The sequence below is a fragment of the Homo sapiens genome, chromosome 2 (assembly GCF_000001405.40).
Source record: "Homo sapiens chromosome 2, GRCh38.p14 Primary Assembly".
NCBI lineage: Eukaryota > Metazoa > Chordata > Mammalia > Primates > Hominidae > Homo > Homo sapiens.
Genome location: NC_000002.12, coordinates 171085918 through 171103456, shown reverse-complemented (window position 1 = coordinate 171103456; position 17539 = coordinate 171085918). Strand labels below are relative to the sequence as shown.

The 17539-nt window shown below is 37.0% G+C and overlaps 1 protein-coding gene across 5 annotated transcripts in view, besides 1 other annotated feature; it reads left to right on the top strand.

Annotated features, from left to right (window-relative positions):
• Nucleotides 1-17539, top strand: part of TLK1 (tousled like kinase 1) — a 240471-nt gene that overhangs the window by 127837 nt on the left and 95095 nt on the right. The window lies entirely within an intron of this gene.
• Nucleotides 109-615: an enhancer, noted in NCBI's record as "NANOG hESC enhancer chr2:171959352-171959858 (GRCh37/hg19 assembly coordinates)". NCBI's record gives its function as "activates a minimal SCP1, AML or CMV promoter by ChIP-STARR-seq in primed H9 embryonic stem cells {active_cell/tissue: H9 hESC(primed)}" and the evidence as "EXISTENCE:reporter gene assay evidence [ECO:0000049][PMID:30033119]".

Sequence of the window (17539 nt, the reverse complement as noted above, 5' to 3'; positions counted from 1 at the left end):
CATCTCAAAAAATTAGCCGGACATGGTGGGACGTGCCTGTAATCCCATCTACTCAGGAATCCGAGGCAGGAGAATTGCTTGAACCCAGGAGGCGGCGGAGATTGCAGTGAGCCAGGATTGCACCACTGCACTCCAGCCTCAGTGACAGAGTGTGACTTATGTCTCAAAAAAAATTATATATATATATATATAAATTTGAGATCAATTTTTTTCTTAACTCAGAACCTTCCCCAAACTTCCCATTGCATTTCAAATAAAATTCAGTGTCTTCACTGTGCCCCACACAGATCAGAAGGCCTTCCTCTAAATCAGGAGGCCTTTTGATCTAGTGTTAGGCTAACAACTGCCCCACCACGGCAGTTATTATTTGCTGTCTTATTTGCCACTTGCCTCAAACACACTTCACGCTGACTTCATTCAAATTTCCCCTCTTCAAAGAGGCCTTATCTCACCGCTGTATGTAAGGTAATACCTTTGTCACTGCCCCTTAGTTTCTCCACTTCTTTTTTTTAATACTACAACTTATTGATTCCATAGGTAATACTAAAATTTATGTGTTTGTTTATATTCTCTTTCCCTTCTCGTAATGGAAACTCCATGAGCACTGGACTTCAGTCTGTTTTTTTCACTGCTGTATCCCTAGCATCTACAACAGAACCAAGGCCCTCAATGAATACTTTTGAATGCATGAATGAATAGCAAATAAAGCATTCTTCAAAGGCAAAAACCTTGAATGGTATAATGATAGACGTTTTTTAAGGACTAAGTCTCCACAAAGAAGATAAGGCAGTTAAAATTTTTATATATCAAACCGTTTTAGAAATAACGTAGTGAATTTATTAAAACACAGTTAGAATGAGGGATTTTAAATAATTCTTTTAGATTTTGACTATTGTTTTACCCTAAGCCTGTTTCGCCTGTTTATTTACTTACCAGACCCTGATAGCATATGAATTTGTGACTCTCAGATAGAAAGAAGGGTAAATGTTATAAACTGTAATTATGTAAACTTATTGTGTAGTTGTCATGTTGGGAGAAGTTAAGGATATATTTTCTTATTTTACATAATGAGGAGTCATTACACACAGTTTGAACTTAAAGAAAATATTATATTTAAGGTAAGGCAACCATTTGAAGAATTAAAAATAAAAATATAACTAAATGTCTCAGAAAGAAGGAGAAACTGTGATGCTAGATAAATTCTTCATCTTCCATGGCAGGGTCAATTGAGGATTTACTAGAATCTGGTACGTACTCACCTGTTTGAAAGAAAGGAAGTAAAGAAAAAAAGGAATGAAGAAGCTATCTGTGTTTTGATTTGGAAATGTCTCCAAGATATATTAAGAGAAAAATATGCAATGCAGTCTGTATAATGTTATCTTTGAGTGAGAAGGGAGGAACCAAAGAACATATATTTAATTTGCTTGTATAGAAATAGAGACTCTAGGAAGACAATAAGAAAGAAACCAAAGTAGCCTGTTTATATTGCCTATTCAAAAGTTAATTAAAAACATTTTTTAAATAAGTCATTGCCTCTCAATAGTGGGACTGATGTGGGAAGGAGAAATTATCTTTCTGTAATGATTGAAATTCCTCTTATGTGCCTGTGTTGCTTTTATATTTTTTAAAACAATGTCTCATGGGTGTTTTTTAAAAAAACCTATTCTTTTGAAGGCCTCAAGTCTGTGTATGTGTGCTTGCAGTGGAACATACTATATGAGTGTTTGCATGAATGATTATATACTGTACTTTGTTGAGCTTTTTTCCTTCTGATTTCCCTCCACTAATGTGAACTTTTAGAACCACTTTTATTGAGATATAATTAACATACCATCAAAATGACTCATTTAACATATTTAATGGTTTTTAATGTATTCACTTTTTTATGCAACCATTACCACTGTCGAACTCTAAAACATTTTTGTTACCCCAAAACTGAAACACACAAACATTAGCAGCAACTTTCCTTCTTCCCTAGCCTACACTGCATTGCCTGGCAACCACCAGTCTACTTTCTGTATCTCTGGATTTGCTTGTTCTGGACATTTTATATCAATGGAGTGATACAATATGAGTTATTTTGTGCCTGGCTTTTTTTTTTTTTTTTTTTGAGACGGAGTTTCACTCTTGTTGTCCAGGCTGGAGTGCAGTGGCGCTATCTTGGCTCACTGCAACCTCCACCTTCTGGGTTCAAGTGATTCTCCTGCCTCAGCCTCCTGAGTAGCTGGGATTACAGGCACGTACCACCACTTCTGGCTAATTTTTGTATTTTTAGTAGAGATGAGGTCTCACCATGTTGGTCAGGCTGGTCTCAAACTCCTGACCTCATGATCCACCCTCCTTGGCCTCCCAAAGTGCTGGGATTACAGGTGTGAGCCACTGCGCCTGGCCTGTGCCTGGCTTTTAAAACCTAGCATAATGTTTTCATGTTCACAGATGTTATAGTATGTATTGTACTCATTCCATTATATGACAGACTGTTCCATTATATGGATGTGCCACATTTTGTTTGTTCTTTTGTGAGTTGTTGGACATTGGGTGGTTGTTTCCGTTTTTTGATGCAAATGTTATGAACTGTTAGGAACACTCTTAGAAATTTTTTGTAGACATATGTTTTAGTTCTTTTAGGTATATAGATAGGAGTGAAATTACTGATTCTATGTTAACTCTGTGTTTAATGTTTTGAGGAACTGCCAAACTCCTTTTCAAAATAGCCACACCATTTTATATTCCTACCAGCAATGCATGAGAGTTCCACTTTCTCCACATCCCTGTCAACACTTATTATTGTCTTTTTAAATTATAGCCTGTATTCATCTGCTTGTGTTGCCATAACAGAATGCCAGAGACTGGGCAGTTTATAAAGAAAGAGGCTTATTTAGCTCTTGGCTCTGCAGGCTGCGAGGTTCAAGGACATGGCCTTGGCTTCTGGCGAGGAGTTTTACATTTCCCTCATGTTACAGAAGGTCAAAGGGGAAGTGGATATGTGTGAAGAGGGACTGGGGAGGGGGAACCTTGCTTTATAACAACGTGCTCTTGCTGGAACTAAATCCAGTCTTGCCAGAGTAAGAACTCACTCATTACTGCAAGAGTTGCACCAGGCCATTCATGAGGGAGATATAACACAAGCACCTTTCACTAGACCTTACTTCCCACACCGCCACACTTTGGACCAAATTTCAAAATGAGTTTTGGTGGAGATGAACAGACCATATTCAATCCATAGCATAACCATTCTGGGTGATGTGTGAAGTGGGATCTCACTGTGTTTTTGGTATGTATTTCCCTAATGACTGATGAGCATCTTTTCATGTGCTTATTTTCCATTCATATATCTTCTCTGGTGAAGTGTTTGTTAAAATCCTTTTCCCATTTTAAAATTGGGTTATTTCTTAAATCTTGAGTCATAAGAATTCTTTATACTTACTGGGTACTAGACTCTTATCAGATACACGATTTACAGATTTTTGTCTCATTCTGTAGGTGTCATATCTAAGAAATCATTGCTTAATCCAGAATCACATATTTATATACCTATGCTTTCTTCTAGGGAGTTTATAATTATAAATAATTCTTACATTTAGGTCTTTGATCCATTTTGAGTTAATTTGCATATATGGTATGAGGTAGGGAATCCAAAATAATTTTTTCGCGTTGGACTATTCAGTTGTCTCAGCAACATTTGTTGAAAAGACTATTCTTTCTCCCTTTGAATTGTCCTGGAACCTTTGTCAAAAGTTAATTGATTGTAAATATATGGGTTTATTTCTGAACTCTTAATTCTGTTCTGCTGATCTGTATGTCTATCTTTTCGCCATACCACACTGTGTTGGTTAATATAGCTTTGTAGTAGGTTTTGAAACTGGCAGTGTGTATCCTCCAACTCTGTTCTTTTTTCAAGATTATTTTGGCTATTCTGGGTCCCTTGCATTTCAATATGACTTTTATGATCAATTTGTCAATTTCAACAAAAGGCCACCTGGGATTTTGTTAGGAATTTTGGTGAATGTCTAGGTTGAATTGGGAAGTATTGCCATCCTAATAACATTAAGTCTTCTAGCACATGAACACAACTGTTGGTACATTCATTTAGATCTTCTTTATTTTCTTTCAATGATGTTTTTTAGTTTATACTGTATAAGTCTTGCATTTGTTTTGTTAAGTTTATTCCTAAGTATTTTATTTTTTTGATAGTATTGTAAATGAAGTTTTCTTAATTTGTTTTTCACATTGCTCTTTGCTGTTTTATAGATATACATTTGGTTTTTGTGTGTTAGTCTTGTGTCTTGCAACCTTTCTGAACTTATTAGCTTTAATAGTTTTGCTGTTATTACTGTATTTACCTTTAGTATTTACCTTTTATTTTTTTCTTGCCTAATTTTCATTGACTAGAACATCCAATACAATGTTGAACTGAAGTGGTGAGAGCACATATATTGTCATCTTAGAGAGGAAAGCTGTGAGTGCTTCATAAATGTCCTTTCTCAGGTTGAGGAAGTTTCCTTTTATTTCTAGATTGCTGAGTGGCTCTTTTTTGTTCCTTTTAAATCAGAAACAGGGTGTTGGGTTTTGGCAGACATTTTTTCTATGTCTGTTCATGATCAGTGGTTATTTTTTGTTCTGTTAATATAGCTGGTGTATGTTGAACTAACCTTGCATTCCTGGAATGAATACTGTTTGCTCAAAGTGTATAATCCTTTTTATATGTTGCTGGATTTGGTTTGCTAGTATTTTGTTGAGGATTTTTGCATCCATATTTGTAAGGGATATTGATCTGTAATTTTCTTGTGATGTTTTTATCTGGTTTCACTATCAGGTAATATTGTTTTTCCAGAATGAGTTGGTAAGTGTTCCTTCTGTTCTTTGGAAGAGTTTGTGAAGAATTAGTATTAGTTCTGCTTTACATATTTGGTGGAATTTACCAGTGAAACCATCTAGGCCTGGGCTTTTCTTCGAGGGTAGATATTTATTCGTTTTCTTGTTTTAATTATACTGCTACTATTTCTTTACTTGTAAGGACTATTCAGATTATTTATTTCTACCTTTCTACCCCAGCTTTATTGAGGTATGATTGACAAATAGAAATTATATATATGTGAGGTGTATATGTGATGTTTTGATATACATATATATTGTGACATGATTAACACTATTAAGATAATTAACATGTTCATCACCTCATGTAGTTTTTTTTGTGCGGAAAACATTTAAGATCTATTCTCTTAGCAAATTTCAAGTGTACGGTACTATATTATTAACTGTAATCACCATACTGTACATTAGAGCTTCAGAACTTATTCAGTGTAGATGAACCTTTGTACCCTTTTACCAAAATCTCCCCATTTCCCCTACCCCCTAGTTCCTGGCAACCATCGTTGTACTCTCTGCTTCATTGCTTCATGAGATTTCACATGTGAGATCATGCAGTATTTAACTGGCTTCTTTTATTTTTCTTTCTCTTTCTTTCTCTCTCTTTCTCTCTCCCTCTCTCTCCCCGCCCCACCCCTTTCCCCTTTCCCTTCCTTTCCTTTCCTAGTGGAGTCTTGCTCTGTCACCCAAGCTGAAATGCAGTAATGCGATCTTGGCTCACTGCAGCCTCCGCCTCCCAGGTTTAAGCGATTCTCCTGCCTGAGCCTCCCGAGTAGCAGGGATTATGGGCACCCGCCGTCAACACCCAGCTAATTTTGTTATTTTTAGTAGAGATGTCATTTCACCATGTTGGCCAGGCTGGTCTCAATTCCTGACCTCATATGATCCGCCTGCCTCAGCCTCCCAAAGTACTGGGATTACAGATGTGAGCCACCACACCCGGCCGCCTATTCTTAAATTAGGTTGTTGTCTTGCTCTTGAGTTACAATATTTTGGATATTAAGCTCTTATCAGATACATGGTTTGCAAATATTTTGTCCCATTATGTAGATTGTCTCTTTACTGTGTTGATTGGTTCTTCTTCTGTGCATAAGCTTTTTAGTTTGATGTAATATCATTTGTTTATTTTTGCTTTTGTTGCCTATATTTTTGGGATCATTTTCAAAAATCATTGCCCAGACCAATGTCAACAAGCTTTTTTTCCTGTGTTTTCTTCTAATATTTTAAAAATTTCATATCTTATGTCTTTAATTCATTTTGAGTTGATTTTTATATATGGTATGAGATAAGGGTCCAGTTTCCAACTTCTGGATGTGGATTACCAGTTTTCCCAAGGCCATTTATTGAAGAAACTATCCTTTCCCCATTGTGTGTTCTCGGCACTTTTGCCAAAGATCAATTCACCCTACATGTGTGGATTCGTTTCTGGGCTCTCTGTTGTGTTCCATTGGTTTATATGTCTATTTTTATGCCAGTACTGTACTGTTTTGATTATTATTACTTTGTAGTATATTTTGAAATCAGGTACTATGATGCCTCCAGCTTTGTGCTTACTCAGTTTTGCTTTGGCTCTTTGGGTTCTTTTGAGGTTACACGTAAATTTAGGGTTGTTTTTTCTATTGCTGTGAAAAATGCCATTGGAGTTTTATTAGGATTACACTGAATCTGTAGATCACTTTGGGTGGCATGGACAGTTAAACAATATTAATTCTTTCAATTCATGAAAACAGGATATCTTTCCATTTGTATTGTCTTCAATTTCTTTCGACAGTTTTATAGTTTTTATTTTATAGATCTTTCACCTCCTTGGTTAATTTTTTTTTTTTTTTTGAGACAGGGTCTTGCTCTGTCACCCAGGCTGGAGTGCAGTGGTGCCATCTTGGTTCACTGCATCCTCTGCCTCCTGAGTTCAAGTGATTCTCCTGCTTCAGTCTCCTGAGTAGCTGGGACTATAGGCGCCTGCCACCATGCCTGGCTAATTTTTGTATTTTTTGGTAGAGATGGAGTTTCACTGTGTTGGCCAGGCTGGTCTGGAACTCCTGGCCTCAAATGATCCACCTGCCTTGGCCTCCCAATGTGCTGGGATTACAGGCATGAGCTACCGTGCCTGGGCTGATTAAATTTATTCTTAAATTTTTTTTATGCTATTGTAAATGGAAGTGTTTTATTAATTTCTTTTTCAGATCATTAGTATATAGAAATGCAACTGATTTTTTGTGTGGGATTTTAAAAAAAGTTTATTTTATTTTTTATAGAGATGGGGTCTCGCTATGTTGATCAGGCTGGTCTTGAACTCCTGGCCTGAAGCATTCCTCCCATCTTGGCCTCCCAAAATGCTGGAATTACAGGCATGAGCCACCATGCCCTTCCACAACTGATTTTTGTATGTTGATTTTGTTATCTTGCAACTTTACTGAATTAGTTTAACTGACTCCAATAGTTTCTTGGTGGAATCTTCAGGGTTATCCATATATACAATTATGTCATCTGCAAATAGAGATAATTTTATTTATTCTTTTCTGACATGGATGGCTTGTATTCTTTTTTTTTCTTTCCTTTAGCCTGATTGCTCTGGGTAGGATTTCCGGTACTATATTGAATAGCAGTGGTGAGAATGGGCTTACTTGTCTTGTTCCTGATCTTAGAGGAAAAGCTGCCAGCTTTTCATCCTGGAGTATGAAATTAGCTGTGGGCTTATCATTTATTGCCTTTATTATGTTGGGTACATTTCTTCTATACCTAGTTTATTGAGAGTTTAATCACAAAAGGATGTTGAAAGTTTTTTTTTTTTAAATCATGAAAGGATGTTGAATTTTGTCAGATGCATTTTCTGTATCTATTGAGATGATCATAAGATTTTTATTCTTCATTCTGTTAATGTGGTGTATCATATTTATTGACTATGTATGTTGAACCACCCTTGCATTTCAGGAATAAGTTTCAGTTGATCTTGGTGTATGATGATCCTGTTAATGTGGTGTTGAATTTGGTTTGCTAGTGTTTTGTTGAGGATATTTATGTCTTCTAGAATCATTTTTGGTAGCTTGTGTCTTTCTAGGAATTTGTCCATATCATCTTAGTTATCTGATTTGTTGGCATAAAACTTTTCATTATATTTTCTTGTAATTCTTAGTTCTGTAAGTCAGTAATAACGAGCTCTTTCATTTCTGATTGTAGTAATTTGAGTCTTCCTTCTTTTGGTCTTGGTAGGACTTGCTAAAGATTTGTCAATTTTGTTTTCAAGGATCCAACTTTTGGTTTCATTGTTTTTTTTTCTATTGTTTTTCTATTCTCTATTTCATTTGTTTCTGCTGTGATATATATTTTCCCCCCTGCTTGCTTTGGTTTTAGTTTGGTTTTCTTTTTTCTAGTGTTTTTTGGGTGGACGGTTGGGTTATGATTCAAGATCTCTTTTTAAATGTAAACATTTACAGTTACAGTTTTCCCTGTAAGCACTGCTTTAACTTTATCTCATATGTTTTGATATGCAGTGTTTTTGTTTTCATTCATCTCAAAGTTTTTTTCTAATTTCCTTTGAGATTTATCCTTTGACCTATTGGTTATTTAGGAGTGTGTTGTTTAATTTCTGCATGTTTGTGATTTATAACAAATCTTTATGGCAGTCATACATAAACCTGTATCTGCTACCCTCTTCTCCCCCTTTAGAAAATTTAGTTTGAGGCCAGGCGCAGTGGCTCACACCTGTAATCCCAGCATTTTGGGAGGCTGAGGTGGGCAGATCACCTGAGGTCAGGAGTTCGAGACCAGCCTGACCAACATGGTGAAACCCTGTCTCTACTAAAAATACAAAATTAGCCAGGCATGGTGGCGCATGCCTGTAATCGCAGCTACTCGGGAGGCTGAGGCAGGAGAATCGCTTGAACCTGGGAGGTGGAGGTTGCAGTGAGCCGAGATCACGCCATTGCACTCCAGCCTGGGCAACAAGAGCAAAACTCTGTCTCGGAAAAAAAGAAAATTTAGTTTGAGGGTATTGCTTGCCCTTACAGTGTCGATCTTTTAAGCATTCTTGAATACATGCTGCCATGTTTTGAGTTTGCATGTCTGAAAATGTCTTTCTTTTGCTTTCTCGTAGTATCTCAGTAGTTTATAGATACTATTTTTGATGTCTTCTAGGTTTTAATTTTTCTTCAGCTCAGGGAAGTTTTCTTTTTAATATTTGATTTTTTTTCTTAATTTGTTTCCTCCCTTCTGAAAACGAGTTATTTTCATAGTAGATCCCCTAGATATGTCCTTTGTATCTGTTGTTTTAACTCATGATTTTAATTTCTTCATATTTTGATGTTAACGGGATGATTCTACTTCATTTTCTAGACTACTAATTTCATTTCTAGCAGTGCTTCTGCCCCTACTCTTTACTGAATTTAGATTTTTGCAATTGCGTTTCACTGTCAACTCTTTTATTTCTAATTATATTTACTTTAAAATTCAAATAATATACTTATAAAAGACCTATTTCTGCTCTGACCGTAATTTCTCCTCTAGTTGAGCCACCTATTCTGTGTTTGACTAGGGCTCTCCCTTGCAAGGTAATTAGGCTCCTTAAATTACCTGTAAGATTTTCTTGCCACAGCATCCATTCTGGTTAGGCTGGTGATCTTCTGAGTAGTGATAGATTGGTTGGTGGTGAGGTTTACAGGTGTTCCCTTCTCTTACTCCTGGTGTTGGCTACAATCAGGTGGCGTCTAGAGCAGCATGGGACAGGTGGGTAAGGGGAGTCTTCTCATTATGCAGAAGTGATCAACTTAAATCTCTGTCAGATCTACCTTTATGTAGCCCTACAGACATTCTTCCCCATAGATTTGACCAGAAAAGCAGGCCTGATCTTACTTACCTATTCTAACTTATTGATTCTCCTAGCCTTCTTAACAGTGGCATTAAGAAGGTGTTGCTTGGAATTTTTTTTTTTTAATGGTTTCACATAGTTTTTAAGTTGAAGTTCAAATTACCTGACATTTTTCGGATTCCTACCTTACCACTGTAGCCCAGTTTCATGCCCCACTTTCCATCTTTTCTTCACATTGTACTTTGAACAGCCTATTTGTGGTTCCCTAAATGGATATGGTTTTTCACATCTTTCCTTTGAACATACAGTTCACTTTGTTTCAGATGCCCATATGCCCTTTCTTTTCATCAGATGCATCACTCTTTGAATGTCAAGGTCAGATCAGGTATCACTTTAAGGATGTTTCTCTGATTACCTCATTCCATCTAATTGCCCAAATCCAAATCTGGTGGACCTCCTGTGTCCCTCTTCAACACCTGTGTGTACCTAGACAAAATTTTTCCCATCACATTTTAATTATTTGTTTCTTACTAGCCTACTAAGCTCTTGAAGACAAAGGACTGTGTGGCATATTTTAATGGTCTCAGCACTTAGCTCTGTGTCTACTCTTTAGTTATGTCCTCAATTTTGGGGGAATGAAATCCTTTTATTATAAGAAATCAAAACAGTGTATCCTGATTCAGAAACTTTGGAGACTTAGGCAGTAGGAGGCTAATTTTGAGACTGGCATATATTTTTAAGAGTACTGGGGGAAAATTTTGAATTGCATTTAGAGTTTACATGGAGTCATGTGGTCCTTCTGGACTTGCTTTAATATTATGTTCTTAGCACTGCCCAGTATCAGCAAGCTCTTTGGAACTGAAAATAAGGCCAGTGTCTGTTTATTTTACTAATTTTCCTAACTTCTAACCTGTTAACATCACGTAAAAAAAAATGTACCCATCTAGTTGCTTCATTTCCTTAGCATATACTTTAAAGTACTCATGTGTAAGGTTCCATTTAGTGTCCTTGGTTTGTAGACAGAGGACAAAATCCTTGCCCTCAGATGCTTTTAGTCTGTTCTAGTAGTAACCACAGCAGAGCAAGCATAGTTTGGTAACTTCCAGGTGGACATATTCATCATTTTGTCCATGGGGGTAGGAGGGTGGTCTTAACAGTTTGCAGGTTTAACCCACATTTCAAAAAACATGTTAAAATATGAAGTGTTCTAATTAAATCTATTGGCACAGTAAATAGATATTTTGGGATATTAGTGAACTAAAGAGATATTTGGGGAGATGGCAGCTACAAGCTAAAATCTGAACACTTTGATTAATATTTAGAATTAATTGACAACTACAGAGAGCCAGTAGTGGTGGTGCTGATAAGAATGTGGATGGTAACCAAAACTTAGTCTGTCTTACAGTTTTGCCTACAGCTGGTCATAGTGAAAATATGTAGTGTGAAAGTGAATGTCATTGATGGACAAGTCTTCTTTAAGACATTTGACTTCGTTTTCTACTTTTGTCCACTCCAGATTTTTTGCCAAAACAATATGGATTTTTTTTCTTTGGCAGAAATAAACCCCAGCTCTCTAGCTACCTTGAGCAAAGAAGGGAAGTTATTGATCGAATATCAGTCAATTCACAGAATGATTTGGAAGCCTGGAAGACCAGAGTTGCACAGGAACCAGGGCAACCTTGGGTGATGAAGCAACAGAAACTGCTCATCCTTTTGATTGTGGGATCTCCAGTGGATTAAAAAAAAAAAGACGGCCGGGCGCAGTGGCTCATGCCTGTAATCCCAGCACTTTGGGAGGCTGAGGCTGGCGGATCACGAGGTCAGGAGATTGAGACCACGGTGAAACCCTGTCTCTACTAAAAATACAAAAAATTAGCCGGGCGCGGTGGCAGGCGCCTGTAGTCCCAGCTACTCGGGAGGCTGAGATAGGAGAACGGCATGGACCCAGGAGGCGGAGCTTGCAGTTAGCCGAGATCATGCCACTGCACTCCAGCCTGGGAGACAGAGTGAGACTCCGTCTAAACAACAACAACAACAACAACAACAACAACAACAACAACAACAACAAAGACACCCCCCCGCCATCCCATGCTTATTATATCATTCCTTTGAGATTCAAACTTCTGGGGAAGAGAGTTGATTAATTTTCCCCTTTGTTTCTCGATTATAGGTATGGGTAAAGATTATGTATGGGAGAAGGACCCTCCTTAGAATTTCTCTAGTTGCTGGGCAGGTTGATTTCCAGTCCTACCAAAAATACAAGGACAGGATGGTTTTCTAAAAAGAAACTATGTTGCTGTCATGAAATTGGAATGGAGGTTGAATACCTAAAATGGGAAATGTTTACTGTGTTCTGAATCATAAGACTTGACTTTCAAATCCCAAATTTAAGACAGTTAATGCTTTTTAGGGATGCAAGGAATGTTTATACTAGATTATGTCTGGTTAGATGGGGGCATCTATTGTTGAAATATAATATTCCCTCTTAACCCATATAGCTCCTCTCAAGCATTGAACTCAAGCACTGATTTTTGTGATTTTCGTATGTCTGTAGCAGAGGTCGGCAAACTTTTTCTGTAAAGTGCCAGGTAACTAAATATCTGTAGGTCATGTGGTCTCTATCAAAACTACTCAACTGTGCCATTTTAGTACTAAAGCAGACATATACCATATGTAATGAAATGAGTATGGCTTTGTTCCAGTAAAACTTTATATAAAAACCAGGCAGAGGGCCATAGTTTGCTGATCCCCTATCTTATAGCAACTCTGTCTAATAGAAGTTTCTGATATGATGGCCATCTTTTGTATCTGTATGGCCTAATAGTAGCCACTGGCCACATGTGGCTACTGAGGATTTAAAATATGGCTAGTGCGACTGAGGAAATTAATTTTCAATTTAATTTTAATAGTTTCTTAGTAAAAAACTATTGTGTCTGCTAGTTTAAATATTGTTCTTTTTACTAAACTTTTGGCAACATTACCAATAAAAAGCCTTATAAAGTGGAGTTATAGTGGAGCTAGGAAAGATATTTTTATTGATAGAGAATGAATTCTGGTATAAAAAGCATTAAGAATAAATGAGTGCTTATCTATGGGGAAATATTACCAGCTTTAGTCTCCAAAGAATTAATACTGAAATTTAACCTTTTTAAATACATGATTTTAGAAAGTGAATACCTAGGAAAATCCCAAGGATTTGATGACTTTGTAGCAAAAAACCGTTCAAATAAATAGCATAGGCGATAAGTAGTTCTCTTCCTCACTACATTTAGAATAATGCACAAATCATAAGTACACTCAATGAATGTTCACAAACTGAACACAGTGATGTAAGCAGCACTCATATCAAGAAATAAAGATTATCCCCATAACATGATTATGATCTAGAGAAAAATCACAAGGAATCTAAAAATAATTAAAACTAATAAGTAAATTAGTTAAGGTCATTGATTATAAATCATATATTAAAACCAGTTATATTTTCTGCATATCAACAACAAATAAGTAGAAAGTAGAAAATGAAGTTTTAGAAAGGTACCATATACAGTATTAAAAATTGTTAATATAAATATGTTATTAAATCTTTATAATAAAAATATAAGTTGAAATAAATCTTACAAAAGATACTCAAGACATCTTCACTGAAAACTGTAAAACAGTGAAATCAGAAAAGGCCTTAGTAAATGAGATGCAATATTCAAATATTGGAAGACTCAATGTTATAAAGCTATCAGTTCTTACTAAATCGATTTGTAGCTTCAGTGCAATACCAATTAAAATCCCAGCAGGATTTTGGGGAGGGTGGAAAGTAACAAGCTGATTCCAAAATTATATAAAAATGTAAAGACCAAGAATGGTCTAGGCAGCCTTAAAGGACAATAACAGAGCTGGGAGAATTATACTACTAGATATCAAGAATATTTTGTGGTATTATTGATAAAATTAAACCAGGCACGGTGGCTTGTGCCCGTAATCCCAGCTACTTAAGAGGTTGAACGGGAGGATCACGTGAGCCCAGGAGTTCGAGGGTGCAGTGAGCTATGATCATGCCACTGCACTGCACTCCAGCCTGAGTGACAGAGCAAGACCTGGTCTCTTAAAAAATAAAGAGAAAGTTAGTTATTAAGTCAGTCTGATATTGACATGGATAGAAAAATAGACCAATGAAAGAGAATAAAGTCCAGCAGTAGACCCATCTGTAAATAGTAACTTGATCTATGACAAAGGTGATATTGCAGTGCAGTGGGAAAGAGTTGATCGTTAAAATAGATGTGCTGTATCAATTGGATATCTATAAGGGAAAATAAATAACTCTTCACTTTGAACTCTTATCATGATAGAAAAATCAATTTCAAGTAAATTGTAGATTTAAATGGGAAAGGTAAAGCAATAAAACTTTAATAAAATGAATAGACTGTCTTCATTACCTTAGATTGGCAGAGATTTCATAAATAGGTTCCAAAAGGCAGTAGCCAAGAAGAAAAACATTTGATAAATGTAACTACGTTGAAATGACACAGTAAGGTGTGAAAAGGCAAACCATAGATTCATGTCCTGAATATGGAAAGAATTCCTACAAATCAAGAAGGAAAAGACACACAATTCATGTTCATAATTTCAAAGCCAGGCCAAATGTGGTGTCTCACTCCTGTAATCCCAGCACTTTGGGAGGCCAGGAGTTCGAGATCAGCCTGGCCAACATGGCGAAACCTTGTCTCTACCAAAAATACAAAAAGTAGCCGGGCATGGTGGCACATGTCTGTAATCCCAGCTACTCAGAAGGCTGAGGCAGAATCACTTGAGCCCGGAAAGTGGAGTTTGCAGTGAGCCAAGATCATCATAGGATCAGGGAGACTTTTGTGTCTGTCCTGTGTTTGAGCTATTTCATGTATCCCATATCTTCTCTTTCTTGCTTTATTTCTTTGTTTTTGGTGGAGCAGATTCTCTGGTTGCTTCTTGAGGAAAGATATATGGGTAGTGAAATTTTTGAGACCTTGCATATTTTCCTCCTCCCACTTTGTTTTTAGTGTATCTGACGGGTAGAATTCTAGGTTGGAAATCATTTTCTCAGAATTTTGAAGGCATTGTTCCATTGTCTTCTAGCTTCCAGTGTTACTGTTGCACACTCCAATGCCATTCTGATTCCTGATTCTTTGTAAATACTCTATTTGTTCTTCCCTCGAAGCTTTTATTTAGGAGCTTGTGTTTGTCTCTAGAATTTGAAATTATTTATTCTGATGTATCTTGGTTTGGTTTTCTTTAAGCCATTGTGCTTGATTTTTTAAAAATGTGTCTTTCCAATCCAGAAACATGCTTTCCAGTTCTGGAAGAATTTTTTGAGTGATATTGGACTTTGTTCATATCTGTGCATTAGGCACTTAAACACTTACTGGAAACTGTGTAACTGGGCAGGGTTTACTGACTGATGGATGGGTTTTGTTTTTTGGGGTGTTTTTGATACAGGGTCTCAGTCGCTCAGGGTGGAGCGCAGTGGCACTGTCACAGCTCACTGCAGCCTCTATCTCCTGGGCTCAAGTGATCCTCCTACCTTAGCCTCCTGAGTAGCTGGGACTGCTGGTACATGCTACCACATCTGGCTAATTTTTTTTTTCCTCTGTAGGGACAGGGTTTCACCATGTTGCCCAGGCTGGTCTCAAACTCCTGGGCTCAAGCCATCCGTCTACTTCAGCCCCCCAAAGTGCTGGGATTATAGGTGTGAGCCACCATACCCAGCCATGGATGGGTTTTGCAGTAGGATGATCTAGTTAAGTCATTTCTCTGAGGGACTTATAGAATCTCCCAGAGAGAGATTTTTATCATCTCATACCTGTGGAGTAAAAGCTTGGCTGCTAACTTTTTAGAATTGAGAACAAGAAAGGGCCTAAGGGTCTCTTTAGTGTAGACTTTCTACTTAACCTTCTCTGTTTTCTCAGCTGTGCCTTATGCATCTTAGTACAGAGTTCTCCTAGCTCACTATTTCCAGAGTGAAGTTGGCCTCCAGCATTTATGATGACAAGTCAACTGTTACTTTTATCCTTTTTTGTTCTCATGTGTACTTTCTCCAGCTGCTTTCAAGATTGTTTTCTTTATCTTTGGTTTTTCAGCAGTTTGACTATGATGTGCGTAGGTGTGGTTTTCTTTGTAGTTATCCTGCTTGGGAGATTGAGTGAACTTCAATCTGTAAATTAATGTCTTTGCCAAATTTTGGGATTTTTCTGGCTGTCATTTTTTCAAATATTTTTTTCTGCATATTTTTCTCATTTTATGACCCCAGTTACATGTATCTTAGACTGCTTCATGGTGTCCAACAGACACTATTTTTCAATATTTTTTTCTCTGTTCTTTAGTTTGAGTAATTTCTCTTGACCTATCTTCAGTACTCTTTTTCCATTCTTCTGTTAAGCCCATTCAGTAAGTTTTCTATTTTAGAGAGTGAAATTTTCAGTTGTAGAATTTACGTTCAGCTCTTTTTACGGTTTTTATTTGTCTGCTGAAATTTCCAATCTTGTCGTTTGAGCTACTTATATTAGCTGCTTTATGTTATTTATTTGCTGATTCCAAATCTGTGTTACTTCATGATTAGTATCTATTGATTGTCTTTCCTCTTGAGTATGGGTCACTTTTTCTTGTTTCTTCATATGATTACAAATTTTTATTGTATCCTCCACGCTGTGAATGACACATTACAGTGACTTTGGAGACTGTTTTTTGTTTGTTTTTCTTTGTTTTAGGAGGCAGTTAACTTGGCTAGACTGAAATTTAAGCTATGTCTCCCTGCAGAGGGCAGCACTGACATCCCTGCTAGTTGTTTTAGTCTTATCTAGGCTGCTTATCGTCTGCTCCGTTTTTGCATAGATCACTGACCAGCCAAAGAAGTAGGCAGAGTTAATATGCAGAATTTGGGACTCTCCCTTTGTGGATCTTTATTTTCCAGCGTATCCCTCCTTACTTTGCAGCCTCTTTGGAAGCTTGAAACTCTTGTTTTTCAAGCCAGTAAGACTAAAGATTTTGATCTGGGTTTCAACTGCTGTTTGTGCAGCTCTGATCTCCGGGACCTTCCCCTCAGCAAAAGCTGTAAAAACAGGAAACCTACCCAGATCTATTCCCTTCTTCTCCTCTTCTTTTTTTTTCTGTTTTTTTTTTTTGTTTGTTTTTTTTGAGACGGAGTCTTGCTCTGTTGCCCAGGCTGGCATATAGTGGTGCGATCTCTGCTCACTTTAACCTCTGTCTCCCAGATTCAAGCATTTCTCCTGCCTCAGACTCTCTAGTAGCTGGGATTACAGGCATGCGCCATGACGCCTGGCTGTTTTTTGTATTTTTAGTAGAGACGGGGTTTCACTATGTTGGCCAGGCTGGTTTTGAACTTGTGACCTCAAGAAGTCTGCCTGTCTAGGCCTCCCAAAGTGCTGGGATTACAGGCGCGAGCCACTGCACCCAGCCTCTGTTCCCTTCTTCTAAGTGTTGTCTTGTACTTAGATTCTGCCTACTTTTGGTTCAGGTAGTGGCTTTTTTAAATCCTTTTTTTCCAGGATTTATATATAGTTATCTGTAGAAAATAAGGTATTCTGTTTTTACTGGTGGTGGAATCTTATTCATCTACCTACCTACTTATATTTTTATTGTTTGTTTTAAAAGATAAAAATATTTCATGAATTTTTATTGATATTTCCTATTCAAACTCAGGATTATAAGGTTTTTTTCATATGCATCTTTATACTGTGAATTATGAAATTCGAAGATACGAAGCAGAGGATAGAATTGGATATCCCTTAATTATTTTACTTTATTCTGTATTTCACACACATAGCTGTCTCAAAATAACATTAGCACAGTGAACAAAGTGGGTACTGAAAACAATTATTTTGT